The following is an 18,962-nucleotide window of genomic DNA, read 5'->3' on the forward strand; positions in this document are numbered from 1 at the left end:
TGGATCCTCTCTTTGGTAAGTGAAATGGCACCTGCTCCTCTTTGAACATCACTGGAGCAGATTACTTTTCTTTCCCTCTGTGCATTGTTGAAATCAGGGTTTCTTGATTTAAAAAAAAAAAACAAAAAACAGTTTTGATCCAAACTTTTGAGGGTTAGAATGAAAAGAATGTTTTAGGCAGAGGAAAGTATAGGCAGAGGAGTGCAAGTAAGTGGAAGGATGAATTCAGGATCATCAAATGGCTTGTGTGGCTAGAAGTTCTGAACAGGGAGAGGAAATAGTTGGGGTGAGTCGGGATGGGAGATGGTAATGGGAATGGGCAAGGGCTTGGTTTTGAAAGATGTGGACTGACACATTAGGGATCATGGACATTATTCTTTGGACAATAAAACAGTATTACATGATTTTAAGAATGAGAGTGATATGATTCAGTTCATATTCTGGAAAATTCATTCTTACTAAAATTTTGAGAATGGAATTAAAGGAGATAATATTGGACATAGAATTAATTTTGGAACTATTTTGATAGAGGAATATGACATCAATGATGATGACAGCATGTCAGACACTGCTAATCATTTCCGGTACATTATGTGGGTTAATTCTCATCACAACTCTGAGATAGAGAATATAATTTTCCCTGTTTTATGAATGAAGACATAGAGGTCACACAAAGGCGAAGAGGCTGAACTGAGATTCCACTTCAGTAGGTCAAACTGTAGAGGTTGAATGTATTCTGGAGTTCAAAACACACCGCCTGAAAAAAGCCAGTTCTGTAGCTCATAGATTGCTAGATCAGAAAAGCACCTATTCATTGTATTATTTTGTTTCATCTGTTGACTCTTTCCAACTTTGATTAGCTTAAAATATATCATTTTTTTTTGCAAGGAAATTGTCGATATAAGTGAGGTAACTGACTTGACACTGAAACTTCTCTTATGCATCCCTGGGAGGTTTCCTGTGGAGTTGCAAAGAAGAAGATGAAAATTTAATCCAGTAAAGATTTTCAAATGAAGGGGATTCTTCCTCATATTTATAGAGACTTATGGAAAGTATTGTCCCAGAAGTGTTCTGAAATCCTTGAAGTCAAATGTAAGTCAAACAAATTATACTTAATAGTAGGGCTGATATTCTGCAAATATAGGAAATTTGGTCTGTTTTCCATTTCCATAAAAAAATAAATTAGTGCCCAGTGCTATCACTATTGGCTAAAAATAAGTTTCCTGAATGTTAGGTTCAAAAGGGGTTACATTTTAGATTATAAAATTAGAATACCATTTAGGCATTCAATTTTCACAGAAAATGAATTGTCTTTAACCTTTCAATAACTCTAGGATTTCGTTTCTTAAGATAAAATAAGGAATAGATTACTTTCTCAAAACACCTTAAAATAAATTAGGTTACTCGCTTTCCTTCTTCTCTCCCTGTTTTCCCTCTCCCTTCTTCTCTTCTCCCTTCTTTCCTCTCTTCCTTTCTTCTTTTTCTCCTTCTCGCTCTCCCTCCCTCTCTTTTTATTTAAGAATTAACTAAAAGCCAGGGCAATTCATTTGAGGGGAAAAACAGCTCCTCTTTCTTCCTCCTTTCCCTGTAAAATCTGCTCACTGTTGACAGAATGTTGATTTAGAATTACATTAATTGACAGTGAAAGACTTCATATAATCCTGTTTATATGACCTCCAATAATGTTGAAAGATCAAATAAAAACCCTACTCTGGCAATTTTCCGAAGCCATCATAGACTGTAGCAGAAATGATTTAGATGAACGAACTTCCAGTTTCCACAAAATGTGAATTTGCATTTTATATGAAACCTGCCTCATCAGTCAACCAGCCTGCTCCAAAACGATGACTTCTGTTTGACCAAGTGCCTGCTTTTCTTTATAGGCAGTTTCAAGAAATCCTTAATTATTGTTCTTAACAAACCGCATGTGCTGTTAACTTCTCTAGATGAATGATCACGAAGTTGTAGCGTCATTATTCAAGAGGGACACCAGTTTCAATGTCAGTGGCAACATCCTTCACTAACACCCTTGGCAATAACCCTTAGTTTTGGCTGGGCCCGGTGTCTCACGCCTGTAATCCCAGCACTTTGGGAGGCTGAGGCAGGCGGATCACGAGGTCAGGAGATCGAGACCATCCTGGCCAACATGGTGAAATCCCGTCTCTACTAAAAAAAATACAAAAATTTAGCAGGGCGTGGTGGTGGGCACCTGTAGTCCCAACTACTCGGGAGGCTGAGGCAGGAGAATGGCATGAATCTGGGAGGCGGAGCTTGCAGTGAGCCGAGATCCGCCACCGTACTCCAGCCTGGGCGACAGAGCGAGACTCTGAAAAAAAAAAAAAGAAAGAAAAAAAAAGAAAAAAAAATAACCCTTAGTTTTAGCAGAGGTCATCTTAACCTTTTAACATGTAGATATTGAATAAAAACTGAGTAAGGTCTCTGAAGGATGGTCTAAAAATGCATAATGGAATTTTAGAGAGTATTGACTTATATTTGACTTGGGGCACATCTTTTCTTCATTTTGTATGATCTATACATTTGCTTATGCTGTTTATATAACTTCAACATACTAAGCTGCTTATGTAACCTTCAACCTTTTCTCTTCTACTCTCGAAATAATACCTTTGAGGGTCAGATGCTATTTTTTGTGTTGTCTTTGGAAAACAGAGTATAGTGTTCTATGGTCTGTCTTCAGGTTTCTTGAATGAAACTTTATTTCATTCTCTTTACTCTTTACCTATGTGACATCTCAGGACTGCTTTTTGATGTAACAAGAAGTGCCATCATTTTGAAAACCAATTTAAAACTAGAGAAATAGACATATTTTTGGTTGTGATTCCATGAATATGTTCTTATTGGTAATGTCCAATACTGAAGTTTCTGGATGCAGAGTTTGAACAGAACAGTATTTGGAACATATTAGATATCAAATAATATTTGCTTTATGGTTGAATAAATATGAAATCCTAGGGCTTTTTCTTTATTTACTTTTTCTACTTCCCAGACACTAAGTACTATCCTTGCATATAACAGAAAATTACTGTTTTTACACTTTCACCTAAATGTTTTCTTGCCCAATAAGCTGTGGCTAAAACCTATTCAAACTTACATTTACATCCCAAATACACTGGCTCGGGACAACCCCACCCACACTTTTGCTTGTTGGCTGCTCAATAAAAAATTTAAACCACTGTCAAAATGCCCCATTGTTTTGGAAAATTTTTAACAAGGTGTGTCACACTTGCCATCAAACTAGCCTCAGTTGTAAGTTCCATGCTGGATCCACCATGTTGTCCTCCTATCCTGGCTCCCTGTGGCTAGAAAAAAAAAAAAAAAAGCAATCATGTTTGTAAAGTGACTCTAGAAGTTCCTCATTAAATATCTGTAAAATGAATAGTTGTTGCTTATGAGGCTACTTGAAGCCAGATCAATGCTGCCATTGATAACAGTGTCCATCTTTAGAACATCAACGTCAAGTCTACAGAGCTAGCTCTTAAAAGTCCTCCTCAGACATTTTGTCCTGCATCACTGGTCTGGATGGAAAATATACATAAACATATTACTTGGCAAATTTATTTAGCCTTGAATCTGTTTTTCTTGATGCATTTAAACTGATGGTGGAAGGAATTGATTGAACCCTGTAAAAAAGAGGGAGGCAGGTTGAAACATGTAAATTCAAGAATAAGAGCTGGTGCCAATAAAATGCTATGGCAAAACAAAGACTATTTCACATCCTGTCATTCTGTGAGCAAAGGGATCTGGAGTAGATTGATTCAGAAATTGGAAAAGGGTGGAGAATGGGTTCAATCCACCAACCAGGAGTTCTGAAATTGAAAAAAAAAAAAAGAGAGAGAGAGAGAAGTCTTTAGATGTGTACATGTGTTCAAGAAGTTTTGGATTTCTGCTGGTTTGTTAGCCAATAAAGATCTGGCACTGATCTTCCCCATCCTGGGAGCAATGAGGACCCACCCTGGCATCAGTGAAGGAGCACCATTTCCTGCAGGGATTGGCTCTGGTGTGCTAGGAACAAACAGTGCTAGGAATCAACAGCAAAATATGTGCAAATGAGATGGAAATAATGGAAGTCAGTGATGTGGGTGGCAGAGGGCCATTGTTTTAGACAGAGTTGCAAGTGATTGAACAAATCTAGGGTGTGAGCCATGGAGATGTCTGGGAAAACAGTATTCTTGGTAGAAAGAATGTTATGTGTAAGAAACTCAAGGTGAGGGTGGTCATGGTTGAAATAATAGTGATCTCACAATCTTATGGGGCTACTGTGAGGATAGCATGTAGCAACATATGTGAAAGGGCCGGGACAATGGGGCTTAGTCATTTCTTAATAAATGAATGTGGAAAAATGAGAATTCACACTTGCTGATTTTTGAAGAAGTAAAACATAATAAATATATACCTACAGCCAGATTATATGAAAAACAATTGAATCCTTCAATGATTCAAAAGCTGTACACTTCAGAATCTCATCAGAGTTGTCTCTCATTAGAGCTGATGTTGGCTGTCAATGTTCAGAACTGTGGAAAGAAAGTCTGATTTATAAGAATCTGTAGCAGGTGGCCGGGCACAGTGACTCACATCTGTAATCCTGGCACTTTGGGAGGCCAAGGTAGCTGGATCATGAGGTCAAGAGATTGAGACCATCCTGGCCAACATGGGGAAACCTTGTCTCTACTAAAAAATACAAAAAATTTAGCCGGGCATGGTGTCAGGCACCTGTAGTCCCAGCTACTTCGGAGGCTGAGGCAGGGGACTCACTTGAACCCCAAAGGCAGAGGTTGCAGTGAGCCGAGATCGTGCCACTTCACTCCAGCCTGGTGACAGAGAGAGAGCAAGACTCTGCCTCAAAAAAAAAAAAAAAAAAAAAGAATCTGTAGCAGGTGTGGATTCTGAAGTAAGAAAAATCATGTCATTTAGATCATTATCATATTAGTCAGAGTACATAGGAGTAGCTGCTATAATAAGCAATCCCCTAAATGTTTTCTTCTCACCATATAATTCAGTGCAGATCTTGTTTGTCAGTTAACTCTTCTCCAAATGGTGATTCAAGGATGGAGCCTCTTGCCATTTTGCATTCCTGCCGTCTTCAACATGCAATCGTTGTAGAAAGAGAAGAGAAATATGAACATGCATATGAAACTCCTGGGAGGTGAGGGGCACCTCACCTATGCCTACATTCCATTGTCCAGACCCCTTATATGGCCCCACTAAGGTGCAAAGGGGCTAGAAAACATAGTTGTCCTCAATATCTGGGAGGAAGTAAAGTATTTGGTAAATACATAAGAACACAATTTCTGTGCACAGACTTTATAGTCATTATCTCATTTACATCTGTGAGGTAGAAGCTATTATTTCAATTTATTTCCTGTGAGGGCACAGATAAAAGTTTATAGAACTAATGAGTGTCACACAAAGATCCTATCTCAGACCTATATGACGCTAAGCTAAGTATTTTTCCACTCAAATAGTAATAGTCACTAATTACTACCTTATACTTTGTTATAAGCAATAGGGTATAACATCAGAAAGGCTTGACAGAGCAGAATCCTGGGGCATCTTTCTGCTGTGTCCTTCAGTAGCTTGGCAAATTTGGGAAACAACCCTGCATTCTCACATGTCAGTTTCCTCATAAGAAATGGGACTACTCAATCCTCAAGTTCCCTCCTAAACTGAAAATTCATTTTTTTCTCATTTTTTAAAGTATGTCTATTGGAGAATTACTTCTATGTTCTTTTAATGGTCCTTACAGGTACTACAGAATATTGGAGAAAATGCTCCCTTAGAATTATATCCATACAGAATACTCAGCACCTTCTAAATTCCCTGATCCTCTCTTCCTCTTGGAGAATTGTCCATTTGTGAGCAGACCCCACTGTCAAAGAGCAGCTGATTCCTGTTGGTTTAGGGAAGCGTCTAGTGTGACTTGTGTTCAGCAACCCCTTGTCTCTTTTCCAGAGCACCCTGGGAATATAACTTGCCAAATCGCTTTCACCCTAAAATTGGCATGAAATGTGCCCATTCGGGCTTCAGAGAGGCTTAACTAATAAAGCAGGAGGTTGCTGAGGAAAAGCAGATACTTGTGCTACTCAGGAATTCCATGTGCCAAGAACCCGCCCCTCCTGGCTCCCTGGGGGAAGCTGAGGTTTTACAGATTTAAAGTCAAAGCTGCAAGTATGGCCCTCAGCCAGCTTCCTGGAAAGGGAATAAAAGTCTCCATTAGAATTTTTTCCCACTTCTCTTCACCATCTCTTCTACATCTGGCTGGAGCAGAACTTGCTTTCTCCTCCTCTACTCCTCCTCCTCCTCCTCCACTCCTCCTCCCCATCTTTCTCCTCCTCCTCCTCCTCCTTCTCTTCTTCTTGTTTTGTCAGAAAAAAGGAGGCTGTTCTTTGTTCACAGGAATGACGAACAGTGGCAAGAAATGATGTCAAATGATAAAAATGCCACCAAGATAAGATGGTAATTTTTGCAAACCCGGGCCTGAAATGGGTGACAAGTTTTCAGAATGTACTTTTTAAAATTGTTTTTTCAGAATATTTCAAGTGCTGGGGATGCTAAGGATGAGGGGGAGACATCATCAGAACCAGCCAGGGAGAGCACTAGCTGGCTACAATTTTTCTGTAAGCCCAGGGTGGTCTAACCCTTTCATTCATTTATTTCAAACACTTTTATTGAGCACCTCTTCTATATCAGACATTGTGGCTGGTAACGGGACAACAGCCGCTTAATGGTCCCCCTACTTCTTCTTGTTCCTTTTCACCCTTTAATCCAGTTTTCTTCCCATATAGAGGTCAAAATGTCCTTTTAAAATACAAAAATCAAAGGTCACTTGCCCAAGAAAAACCTTTCAACGGCTTTTCACTGCACTTACAACCATCAAAACTCTACCTGTCTCAGCTGTCAAAGCCCTGCCTGGCCTGGCCTTGTGTCTATTCTGTACTTATCTTGTCTCTTTCCAGACTCCCTGTTTCTTACCATTTTCCATCATACAAGCCTCCTCTTAATTCTTTGCACACATCACGTTCTTGCCAAAGCAGGACTTTTGTGCTTTCTATTCCTACTACCTGAATGTTCTAGGCCCAATTCACTGTGGGCCTGGATCCTTCTTTTCCTTTAGGTCCCTGCTTAAATTCTACCTCCTCCAAGAGCGATTTCTGACCACCTGTCTGTGCTGGTTGGCTTTGACCTATGTCCTATACTATATCGTTCATTTATTTTCCTTCCTAGGAGTTACCACAATCCATAATATTTAACTTGTTTATTTGTTTGTTTTCTGGCTCATTGACTATTTCCCCTATTAGAATGGAAGCTGTCTTACTTTTTCAATGTGCATACGGTGCCGAAGAAGGTCTAGGCAAAGCCTTGTCCCTGTTGCTGTCAAGCCACTAAGGAGACAGGTGTTTCAAGGCACAACCCAAATACAGGGAGAAGTGCTTAGGTGGCCAAGGAAGGCTTCACCAGTACAATGAATTTTGACCTGGGCTTTGAATACTGAGTGGTTTGCTGATGGAGAATGTGGGCTACAGCTTTTCCATGTGTTGAATAATGAAGGGAGTGTTTTGTGTGGTGTGCAGTGTGCAGCAGCTGAAGGAGGGAGAGAGATATTCGCAGACAGCTGCGGGCAGATCTCACAGCATTTGGATGATGCAAAGTGGAGAGTGTGTCAACCTCCCCTAATACCTTGAATCTAGGGAAAAAGTGTATTCCTCCAGCTGCTGACACTCAGTGAGAGAGTGACGCCTCTATTGAAAGTCGTCTCCTTGGTGTGCTTCTGAAGGAGAAGACTCCACTTAACTATAATTAATTTCTTGCCCTCAATATTGTCCCCAATTATATCCTTCACGTGACTTTAAACCCATGCTTGGGTATCTTCGAGCAATGTGGAAGAAAGGGACAAAGAAGACTTGCCATTTTTATTTTATGCTTCATTAATGACTTTCAAATATGCCTTTTGAAGAAGAATCAAACTGTCATTACTGTTGGATTAAGGGCGGCTTAGAGTGATAGGATGGTGCATATGCTTTTAGCAAGTCAGGATTGAGTCTGCTGCCCCAGAGTGGGCCTGAGTGCCCTGCAAGTGCAAAGTTCTGTGAGAACCACAGTGTGAATGGGAAGTCGTTGCTGCAGGATTTGCATTTTCTTCACAGAGGACCAGAGGTGGTAGAATAAACTGGGTCTGTCCCAAAATAGTAAACTGGAAGGTCAAAAAGGATTTTCCAGGATTTTATTTGGTATCATTACCTGTTAGCACTGACTGGTGAAATTTTGCTTTTTATGAAAGCCATTTAGGCAAACTAATGTGTTTTTGGAATTGCAAGTAGAGAGGCTGGCTAAGGAGAGTGAGGAAGTGTTACCCACTGGTTATTAGGTGAATTTGAATCAGACAGACCTGGGTTTGCTTTTTGGTTCTGTCCCACTTCTAAGTTGTATAATTTTGGCAAAATTATATAACCTCTCTGAGCTCCGGTCTTTCTTTTGTAAAACTGGAGTAATAATTCTTATCACAGAGAATTATAAATGCTAAAGAGATAATGCACACAAGATGCTGAAGATTGTATCTGGAATACAGTACACATCCATATAGATTAGTGAATTATTATTCTTTGTTACTCCTACTATTACTAGAATGATTTCTATATATATTTACTAGACTATAAAGTGTGCACAGGCAGAATCCATATCTAATTCCTTTTTTATCTCCCATAGCAGCACGATAACTAGCACATAAATAGCTCTTGACAAATATTTATGGAATGATTTTTAATTATTAACACATTATCTTAAGTTATTAATACTTGCTTAGTGATTTTAATTATTATTAAATTATTTGTTCAAGAATCATTTGAATACATTCTTTTTTTTTCTCTTGTACTCATTTTTTTTTTAATGGATTTCAGCCAACCTCTATGGAAGAAGGAAGAGAGGGGGAAGCAATATTTTTATGTGGTTGAGAATAGGGGCTTTGGAACTAGCCAGTTGGATTAGAGTCCCTGCTATGTGGCTTTCTAGCCTCAGATTTTTCATCTATATAATGGGATGATACTTACAATAGCTACAATCATATATAGCTCCTAGGTTTGTGGTGCTAAGTACTTAACCTATGTTATTTCATCAAGTCTTACAAACACCTTGTGAGGGGTGAACATACCAAGGTAAGACTGGATGAGAATAGCAAAGTGCCTGGTTCATAAAAGAGGCCCAATGTCAATTAGTTTCATCTCCTTCTCCCTTCCTCCATTTACTAGACACTGAGGTGCAGACAGGTTCTGGACCAAACTGCTGACTGGCTGGGCTGGGCTTCCAAGTTCATCAGCTGAGTCCCAAATCCACGCCATTTCCACATGGCCCTTGAGTTTCCATCAGAGACAAGTGGGGAAGTTATCTTTGCATGTGTATGAACCCCTCTGTTTCTTAGCTAGAAGCCATCTTCATTTAGCTGTCTGGAGGCCTTGCAGAACGAGTCAGTCACATGCCTGCTCCAGGGCCATTTTCCAGGTGACAGAGACAAATGCCATACTTGGCCAGGATATAAAGATCCTCCTGGACCAGCAGCCCCTATCAATGTACTTTGCCGTTTTGTCTATGAAGGAGCCAGCATTTCTGACCAGTAGCTTCTTTATGGGCAGTGGCTAGCTGTGCAATTGGTTTGAGGTCTCACTGAAGCTACTTTGCCTCTTTTTAAATAGCCAATGTTAGGGCATTGCTGAAAAGCCAGAGCTGAGTCACCTTCAATGCAAGCTTCTTTTGTGTCTGCAGCTTCTTGCCAGAGAGGCTCTATCTGATTTTCTGATGCAAGAAGCTGCAAGCTTCTTTCTCTGCCACAATGTCATCCTGTTGGCTGGCTCCATCCATAAAGTTCAACAAACCAGTTCAACCTGGAGAGAGAGAGGGAGAGAGAAGATTTAGACTCTAGGCTGAAACCTGAGTCCTCCAGGTAATGGCAAACAACTGCCATGACTAGGCAGAGTGAGAAAGTCTCATTTGTAATCTGCCTTCCTGCCTTCTCATCTTGCAGCTACTATTCATTTTTGAGCTGGAAGACTTTACCTCAAGCAAGAGTTTTGACTCCCTGCCTTAAGCCTTTGTTTCTGCATCTGTAAATTGATGACTATGATTGCTTAACTCACAAGATAGTTGGGGGACTAAATTATCTAACAGAAAAAAGGAACTCTCCCGGGCCCCTGACTGACACCTCAGACTGTGCTGGGCTCTTGTGTTGAATGCTTTCATTGGCCACTACATTCTCCCTCCTTAAAACCCTTCATCCAAATTATGCAATTCATTCTGCTTCTTGCTTTATATCTGTCATCCTTTCTAAAACATCCTTCCATTAGACTGGAAGCTGTTTTACTTTTTCACCAGTGAATAGGGTAACAAAGAAGGTCTAGGTAATGCCCTGTCCCTGTCACTGTCAATCCACGAAAGAGGCAGATGTTCCAAGGCACAGCCCAAATTCAGGGTGATAATTTCAGTGCCAGAGGGAAGCAGGACATTATGGAAGAAGTGCTTAGATGGTCAGGGAAGGCTTTATCAATAAGGTGAAGAACAGGAGATCTAATTGTGTTGGGGCTACGTCAGGCTCACTCACTGCTCTATGTGGGCTATCTAGCTGAGAACCTGGCAGCCATTTGGGGGTGCAATAAATATTTGTTGAATGATTAAGCTACAAATTATTTAAACAAACTTCTAACTGGTTTCCACCAGTCCCCTGCATACAGCTTTGCCCCTCTCGAAACCATACATCTCAGAGGTGATAGAGCAATCTTTATAAAGCAAACATCCAGCATTTCCTTCCTTTCCTTAAGCCCTGCTATTCTCTCTAGAGTCAAGGAATCATGTAGCTCCCCATTCTCACTCACTGGTCTTTACTCTTTGAATTTCACTTCTTGTCTTCTTGGTGTATTTGGGTACCCACAGGACACCGGGACACTTAGAGCATATTCGTTCTTTTACATAAGATTCTTTTTCCTGACTGAAATCTCCTCTTCACTCTGGTTATTCTTGGAGAACTGCTAGATGTTTACCACCTCCGTGAAGTTTTCTCCAACCAGACAGCCAAGTAGTATTGACTACTCCTTTCCTTGTATCCCCAGCTTTATTAGACCTTTCATTTCCTAATTGCCAGTCACATATTTGTCTTCCCTCAAAAAGATGGCACATTCCAGAGGGGCATGGTATACGTAGGAATGGTAGTCAGGTAGATAGGAGTGGAGGAGGGAGGCAGGAACCATAATGATGAGTGTGCCCTTGTGAGGGTGAATGAATGCTCTGGGTGAGAGGACTGGAAAGATGGTTGGACAAGTTTGCATCAGAAATGGTGGCATTTTTAATCCAGGGCAAATGCAGGGCACTCTACATCTGTCAGGTCACCTGCAGCAGCAGCAACTGAGACTGAGTCCCGAAATAGACTGCACAGCAGGCGAAAGTGTGTGTGCCAGTGCTCCCTTCGCCGAATACTGGCACATGGCCCAGCATCAGGCACATATCCAAATTAGGCTTGAATTCCCTCCGTAAGCAAACAGCAGGACAAGGAACACAAGTGCTTGCTAAGTTTGAGTGGATCAATGCTTTTTGTGCTAGAGATGGCCTAAAGCAGCTCTAGGATTCAGCCAGGTCCCCTTGCTGAATCAGCTGGGGGCTCAGTGGTAGTGCTGCATGTGTGTGACTGGAGTTCTGCCTCTGACTTTAGAGAACTGTTTATTTATATCCCCTAATATCCATCTGGATTCTGGATAGTTTGAAGTATAAAATAGAAGTGAAGGGCATGGTAGAAAGAGCCCAGGCTTTGCATTTTGATGGAGGTGGGTTTTTCCTTCTGAGTAACCATGACGAAGCCACTTAACTTTCTGAGACTCAGTTTACTATTCTATGAAATGGAAATAATTATGGTACCTGGGTTATAGGTGATACTGTAATGTATCCCTGTGTTTAGCGCTTAACATAGAGCAGGTTCTCAACTGGGGGCAATTTTGTCCTCTAGAGGACATTTGCCAATTACTAGCATTTTTTATTTTCACAACTAGGAAATGTTATGGCATCTAGCAGATAGAGGCCAGGGTTGCTGCTGAATATCCTAAAATGCACAGGACAACTCCTCACAACAAAGAATTACCTGACCCCAAATGTCAACAATGCTGATGTTGAGAAAATCTGCCTTGGAGTAAGCTTGGCCATCTGGAGGCACTAAAAAGTGTAGCTATTAAAATATAATTATAATATCTTTCCCACTTACATGTACTGAGTATATATTTAGAAAATCTGGAAGAAGCTATGGTGCATTAAGAATGACTATAATTTCTTTGGCACTCCACCCATTAAGAGGTGGGGTCTCTGTTGTCTGTCCTTGAACCCAGACAGGCTCTGCAATTGCTCTGAACAACAACAACAATATGACAGAAGTGATGCCATGCTAGCTTATAAAACTAGCAGTTTCCTCTTTCTGCCTTTTGGAACACCTTCTTTGGGAATCTCAAGCTAGCATGTCTGAAGTCTGACTTCCTAAGAGCACCATGCTGGAGAATTCAATTGTCAGCGAACCCATTGACAGTCCCAGCTGACTCCAGCCTTCCAGCCACCTCAGCCAAGTCACCAGCCATGTAAATAAACCTCTTGGACTCTCCACAGCAGTCCATCCAACAACTGAATACCACTGGTGAAGTATTGTAGTCAACATCCCACTGAGAAGAATTGCCCAGTTGACTCTTGCCTGCATTGCTGCTCCAAAATATTGGAATATATAATAAAATGGTTATTATTTTAAGCTATAATGCATTGGAGATAATTTGTTTTGCACCAATACATGACCAAACAGAAGTAACAGATGTCCTCAGGTAATTTATGATGTCTTGAAAAGACCTCATAACTAAAAAAGAGAAAAATGAAAAACCAAATATTTGTATTTAAAAAATGTTAAGATACATTCATTAAATGGAAACTAATACAGAGTTCTTGAAGTTTACTGAATTGGAATCACGGAAGCAGATTTTCTCAACATCAGCATTGTTGACATTTGGGGTCAGGTAATTCTTTGTTGTGAGGAGTTGTCTTACTCTTTAAAAGACTTTGGGCAAGCTTCTTAACCTCTAGAACATTAGCATCTCTAACTGTACCTGTTGATAATAATATCTGCTACATGAAGTTATTCTGAAAGTTCCACTGGAAAATAGATATAGAAAAGTTCCTAATGCAAGTATTAGCACAAAATTAGTACTTGTTAAATGTTTGCTAAATTTAAATAACTTTAGAAGTTAGTAAGTAAAGGATTAGCAAGAATTTTTGTTATGGGGGAAAACACACAGGAGGTGTAAACCTTGAGCTAAATTATAAATTGTTATAATTTCAAACTGTTTCTTGCCTTGAAATAGGCAACATTTTAATTTGCAGTTGTTTGTACATGAAGAAATGCTACAGTTCTGTCTGGTGAGTGGCCTCAGGTGACTATCCTAAGAATACATTTGTGTATGGGTTAGGGGCATTCTGAAATATAATTCTATCTATGGACATACAGGGCTTCAGTCAGAGAGAGAAATAAAGACCTGGTAACTGGGTATACAATGGAAGCCAAATTTCAATGATAAACTGTTGATCACTCAGAAAAAAATCCTTCAGTGCTTAAGGGGCAAAACTAGCAAAATGGATTTAGCAGCTCAATGCAAACATTAGAGGGAGTGGGAGTCTTGGTGCTGTTTCAGTGCAGTGACTATAATATTTAAACAACCAGGTTGGAAAGGTACTTGCATATGGGAAGAAAATGGTTTCAAATCACTCTGAAGGTCTGAGCAATCCTGTTGTGGGACCTTCTTTGAAAAGAAAATCATGGGAGCAAAAAGTATTTCCTTACAAGAGAAGAAAGAGCACAACATTGTCTGAGCAGCAGTAGCTCTGGAGTGAGCCAATGCAAGAGGCTGGGTCTGCAAAGAGCACTGAAAGCATTGACCTCCCCAGATGCATTAGAAAGGGCCCAAGGCAGCATGGAAATTGATGTTGGTGACTCTTGAGCCAAAGACCTAGGGAGAGCACTAAGCAAAAAGAACAAAGCTAGAGGCATCATTTTACCCAACTTTACACTATGCTGTAAGGCTACAGTAAGCAAAACAGCATAGTACTGGTACAAAAACAGACACAAAGACCAATGGAACAGAATAGAGAACAAAAAATAAATGCATACACCTATATCCATCTGATCTTTGCAAAGTCAACAAAAATAAGCAATGGAGAAAGGACTCCCTATTCAATAAATGGTGCTGGAATAGCTGGCTAGCCAAATGTAGAAGAATGAAACCGAACCCCTATTTTTCACCATATACAAAAATGAACTCAAGACAGAATAAAGATTTAAATGTAAGACCTCCAGCTACAACAATCCTAGAAAAACACCTAGGAAATACTATTCTGGACATTAGTGTTGGGAAAAAATTTATGGCTAAGTTCTGAAAAACAATTGCAACAGAAACAAAAATTGACAAGTGTGGCCTAATTAAACTGAAGAGTTTTGCACAGTAAAATAAATTATCAACATAGTAAACAGACAACTTACAGTATGGGAAAAATATTCTCAACCTACATATCAGAAAAAAGTTTAATATCAGAATCTATAAGGAACTTTAAAAATTCAACAAGCAAAAAACATATAACCCCATTAAAAATGGGCAAAAGACATGAACAGACACCTCTCGAAAGAAACATACAAGTGAGCAACAAACAAATGAAAATATGTTCCACATCACTAATCATCAGAGAAATGAAAATCAAATCACAATGACATATTATCTCCCAGTAGTCAGGATGGCTATTATTAAAAAGTCAAAAACAACAGAAGCTGATGAGGCTGTAGAGAAAAGGAAATGCTTATACATTGTTGGTGGGAATGTAAACTACTTCAGCCACTGTGGAAAGCAGTTTTGGGATTTCTTATAGAACTTAAAACAGAACTGCCATTTGACATAGCAATCCCATTACTAGGTATATATCCAAAAGAAAATAAATTGTTCTACCAAAATAAAACAAAAAACATATGCACTGTGTGTTGATCACAGCACTGTTTAAAATAGCAAGGACATGGAATCAACTTTGGTGCCCATCAGTGGTGGACTGCATAAAGTAAATGTGATATATATATACACCATGGAATACTGTGAAGAGAAAAAATTATACAATCATACTTTACAGCAAAATGGATGCAGCTGGTAGCCATCATTTGAAGTGGATTAACCCAGGAACAGAAAACCAAGTACCACATGATGTAGTTTGGATATTTGTCCCCTTCAAGTCTCATGTAAAAATCTGATCCTCAGTGTTGGAGGTGTGCCATGGTGGGAAGCGTTTGGGTCATAAAGCTGGATTCCTCACAAATAAGATATTTCCCTCCCCATGGTAATTAATAAGTACTCACTAGTGTGGTTGTTTTAAAAGAGGTACACCCCCTTCCACCTCTTGCTCCTTCTCCCGCCATGTGATATGCTTAGTCCCCCTTTGCCTTCCACCATGATTGTGAGCTTCCTAAGGCCCCCACCAGAAGCAGATGCTGGTGCCATGTTTCCTATACAGCAGACCCATGAGCAAAACCGTGAGTAGAACCATGAGCAAAAATAAATGTCTTTTCTTTGTAAATTACTTAGTCTCTGGTATTCCTTTATAGCAACACAAAACTGCCTAACAGAGAGCATGTTCTCACTTCTAAGTAGGAGTTAAACATTAGGTATTCATGGACATAAAGATGGCAACAGTAGATACTGGAGACTACTAAAAGAAGGAGGGAGGGAGGGGGACACAGGTTGAAAAACTAACTATTAGGTACTATGCTCACTACATAGGTGATTGGATCATTCATACCCCAAACCTCAGCATCACACTATGTACCCCCTAAATCTAAAATAAAAGTTGAAATTATTTAAAAAAATAGAGGAAATGAAAAGCAGAACACATACCAATGAAACCATGGCTAGAAAAGAGGTGGGCTTTGCCTCTACTTGATTACACATCCTGGTACATGCCTTCCTCCACAGAGGTGAGCCTAATTCCATGCCTTCCCTGGCTGTGTCTGCATTTCAAGTTCTGCCGTCAACTTCTTCTAGCATGCAGCGCTCATCTTTGTTTTGCTACAAAAAAGTTTCCCCTGGATTTTCTTACCATTTCTTTTCCCTAGTTGAATAAGAGCAGGGTAATTTGAAGATAAAAATCTAGGACTTTTAATAAATGCACAAATTTATAAGTATCAAATCTTAGAGCTATGATTTAACAACTTTGTCACTTTGGGAAAGTCAACAAAACTTTCTGAACCTTGCTTTATTCATCTGTGAAATAGAGATAGTAAGTCTTTTCCACAGCTATGTTGAGGAAACAGACATTAAAATACTCTGCAATATTATTTAGAGAGTCTTTGGATGAATATTTTCTTATCTACTGCCCAGTCTAACCTAGAAAGGTCAGATTAAGAACTCAGCATCATAGAAGTCAGAATTATTAATTATACTTGAACTTATACCCCTTTAAAGGTTTATGTCAGGTTATTTTTGGGCTGAGAAATTCCAAGATATTGGGGAACGTGAATATGAGCCATGGTGATTTGGAACTGTGTGGTCTTTCTCAGTAACTACCAAGGGACCAAAGGAAGACAGAAAATAAGGGTACAGGAAGCTCTTTACCTCTTTTCAGAGTGTTCACAATCATTATATGATTTGAGCCTTAAATTTATTCTGAAGCAGGAACAGGAGAGATTACTATTGTTTCCCCAGTTTACAGGTGAAGGCAGTGAGCCAGAGAGAGTCTAAGTTTAATACCTGCTTAATATACAAGCTTTGGGGCATGAAAACACTTGCCAGAATGTGGTCCATCTGTCTTTGTTCTCCTGAATACGTAAGTACAGGTCAAAAGGAAGGGGCTAACATCTTCTAAAACGACAAATATGCCCATGGAAATAAAAATGTTTCCGTTTAATCCTTATAACGACCCTTCAAAAAGCCATTATCATCTCCATTTTATTGACCATAAAAACTAAGGCTCGGTGAGGCTAAGGTAATTTACAACCCACCACCGCTATGCAGCAAGAATGTGGCAAAACTTGAATTCGAACTCAGCTCTTCTGTTCAAAGCCTATGCTCCTTTTCCCCAGTGGGCCTCCTATATGTCCAGTATTTCATGCCAACAGGGTACTATTGCATATCTAAAACAACCTTCTGAATTTTTTTTTCTCTAATAAAATGACAAGGCCCTCAGCAGAAAGATATTTCAATGGCAAATGGTAAATCTCACACCCGCTGGCATTTCTCTTTGCTCTGTTAATTTAGTTCTTGAGGGAAAAAAAAAAAAGAAGGTTACAATCAGCGATTTTACCACAAGAGTGGAACTGACACCCTTAGCCAGCTGTGACCGAGTGATCCATTATTCATGGAGCACGCTGGCTCCATTCCTCACCTGCCCGTCACTGCCTTGCATTTCTATCCATCCTTTAGGAATGTTTTCATCCATCCTTTAGGAATGTTTTCAGATCGCTACCACACAGAGGAAGCCCGTCAGTCTTGTTATGCCTAACAGGCATCCCTTGTCTCACTCTAGTTAGCTCAGAAGGAAGCAAATCTTGTCAATTTCAATGTCATATAAAAGATCTTTTCATTGTGGTTGTCATTAACTGAAGACGTTTCTCACTGTAACCCAAAACTGAAGTATTCTATGTGATTTTAGGCAACTTGGAAGCAAGTAACAGTTAAAAAAGAAGCCCTAGCAAGGGAGCCAGTAGTTCTAAATTTCAACTGCTGTGGCTGAGGTGATGTTTGATTATGGCACCCATGTGAGGACCACAGGGAGGGGAACTCAGTCAAGAAGAATAGACTAAATCATATTAAATATAGTGTTGTTTCTTTTTTGCCTAAAGCCATGGAGATTGACAAAATCTCTGTCAGCAGTGAGAAAGACTTCATTTTGTAGGTTGAAGCAAAAAATATAACATTTACTGAGTATTATTTTTGTAAGGTTCTAATTTGGGGCATTCCCCAGGTCCTATCCTCCTTAATCCACCAACAATTCTTTGCTAAAGAGGAGGTTACTGGAAAATAGATAAGTGAAGTAATTTGATTAAGGTTCTACAACTAATAAATGGGAGAGTTTTGAATCTATACCAAAACTTGCAACTCGAAGTCCAGTTCTCTTTTTACTACACATATGGTGTTCATGGACAGTCTCAGAAACTTAACAGCAAACATGACACAGAAAAGTATTAGCAGAGTTTGTTGGACCAAAGAGGGAGGACAATAACACCCTGGGCATTTATAGGAGTTCAAGTCAATGTTATTAGTAATTAAAAATAGCAAGAGCTGGGATAATAAAAACAAAGACAGTTGAGTTCAAGGTATATGACCTTTGAGCTGAATGACTGAGTGCTGGCTGACTGCAGAGGGGCTGCCTAAGAACTCTTTGTAGTAAGCTCTCATAGAAGGAAGTGGTCCTAGATTTGTATATAGATATGAGCTGAGACTAGTGTGGATGGAGAAAGCAGAGGACAGAACCAGGCAACAACAGGAGGAGGATCTAGAGCAGGAATTAAAAGAGAATCTACCTCAATAAATGCTGGCTGAAAATTTCTGTAATGCCAAGTGAGGAGGGAGTGAGGGAGCTAATAATGTATTTGGACTTGATTTACACATTTAATAGCTCGTTCTTCAGCGCTAAATTTATGACAGATTGTGAAGCTACCAAACAAACAACCCAAAAGGTTTTGTCCTTACTGCATACAAAATACAGGTATATATCTGAGCTCATGTAAATATTTGGGTTTCATTTTTTTATGTAACATTATATAACTTTACATATATATATATATGCTTATACATATATAGAGATATGTGTAAACATTATAGAATTAACTCTCTTTCTCTCTCTCTCTCTCTCTCTGTGTGTGTGTGTGTTTATGTGGTGGTGGGGATGGTAGGGATGGTGGAGTTATGATTTTTTTCAAC

The 18,962-nt window shown here is 39.6% G+C and overlaps 1 long non-coding RNA gene across 1 annotated transcript in view; it reads right to left on the bottom strand.

The window, feature by feature from the left end:
* Window positions 1–18,962, bottom strand: part of LINC00824 (long intergenic non-protein coding RNA 824) — a 159,411-nt gene that overhangs the window by 13,229 nt on the left and 127,220 nt on the right. The window contains exons 3-5 of the long non-coding RNA NR_121672.1: window positions 9,161–9,887; window positions 5,004–5,096; window positions 3,246–3,317 (exon numbers count right to left, since the gene is read on the bottom strand). This is a non-coding gene — a long non-coding RNA (long intergenic non-protein coding RNA 824). The remainder of the gene's footprint in view (window positions 1–3,245; window positions 3,318–5,003; window positions 5,097–9,160; window positions 9,888–18,962) is intronic.

The sequence above is a fragment of the Homo sapiens genome, chromosome 8 (genome assembly GCF_000001405.40).
Source record: "Homo sapiens chromosome 8, GRCh38.p14 Primary Assembly".
Lineage (NCBI taxonomy): Eukaryota > Metazoa > Chordata > Mammalia > Primates > Hominidae > Homo > Homo sapiens.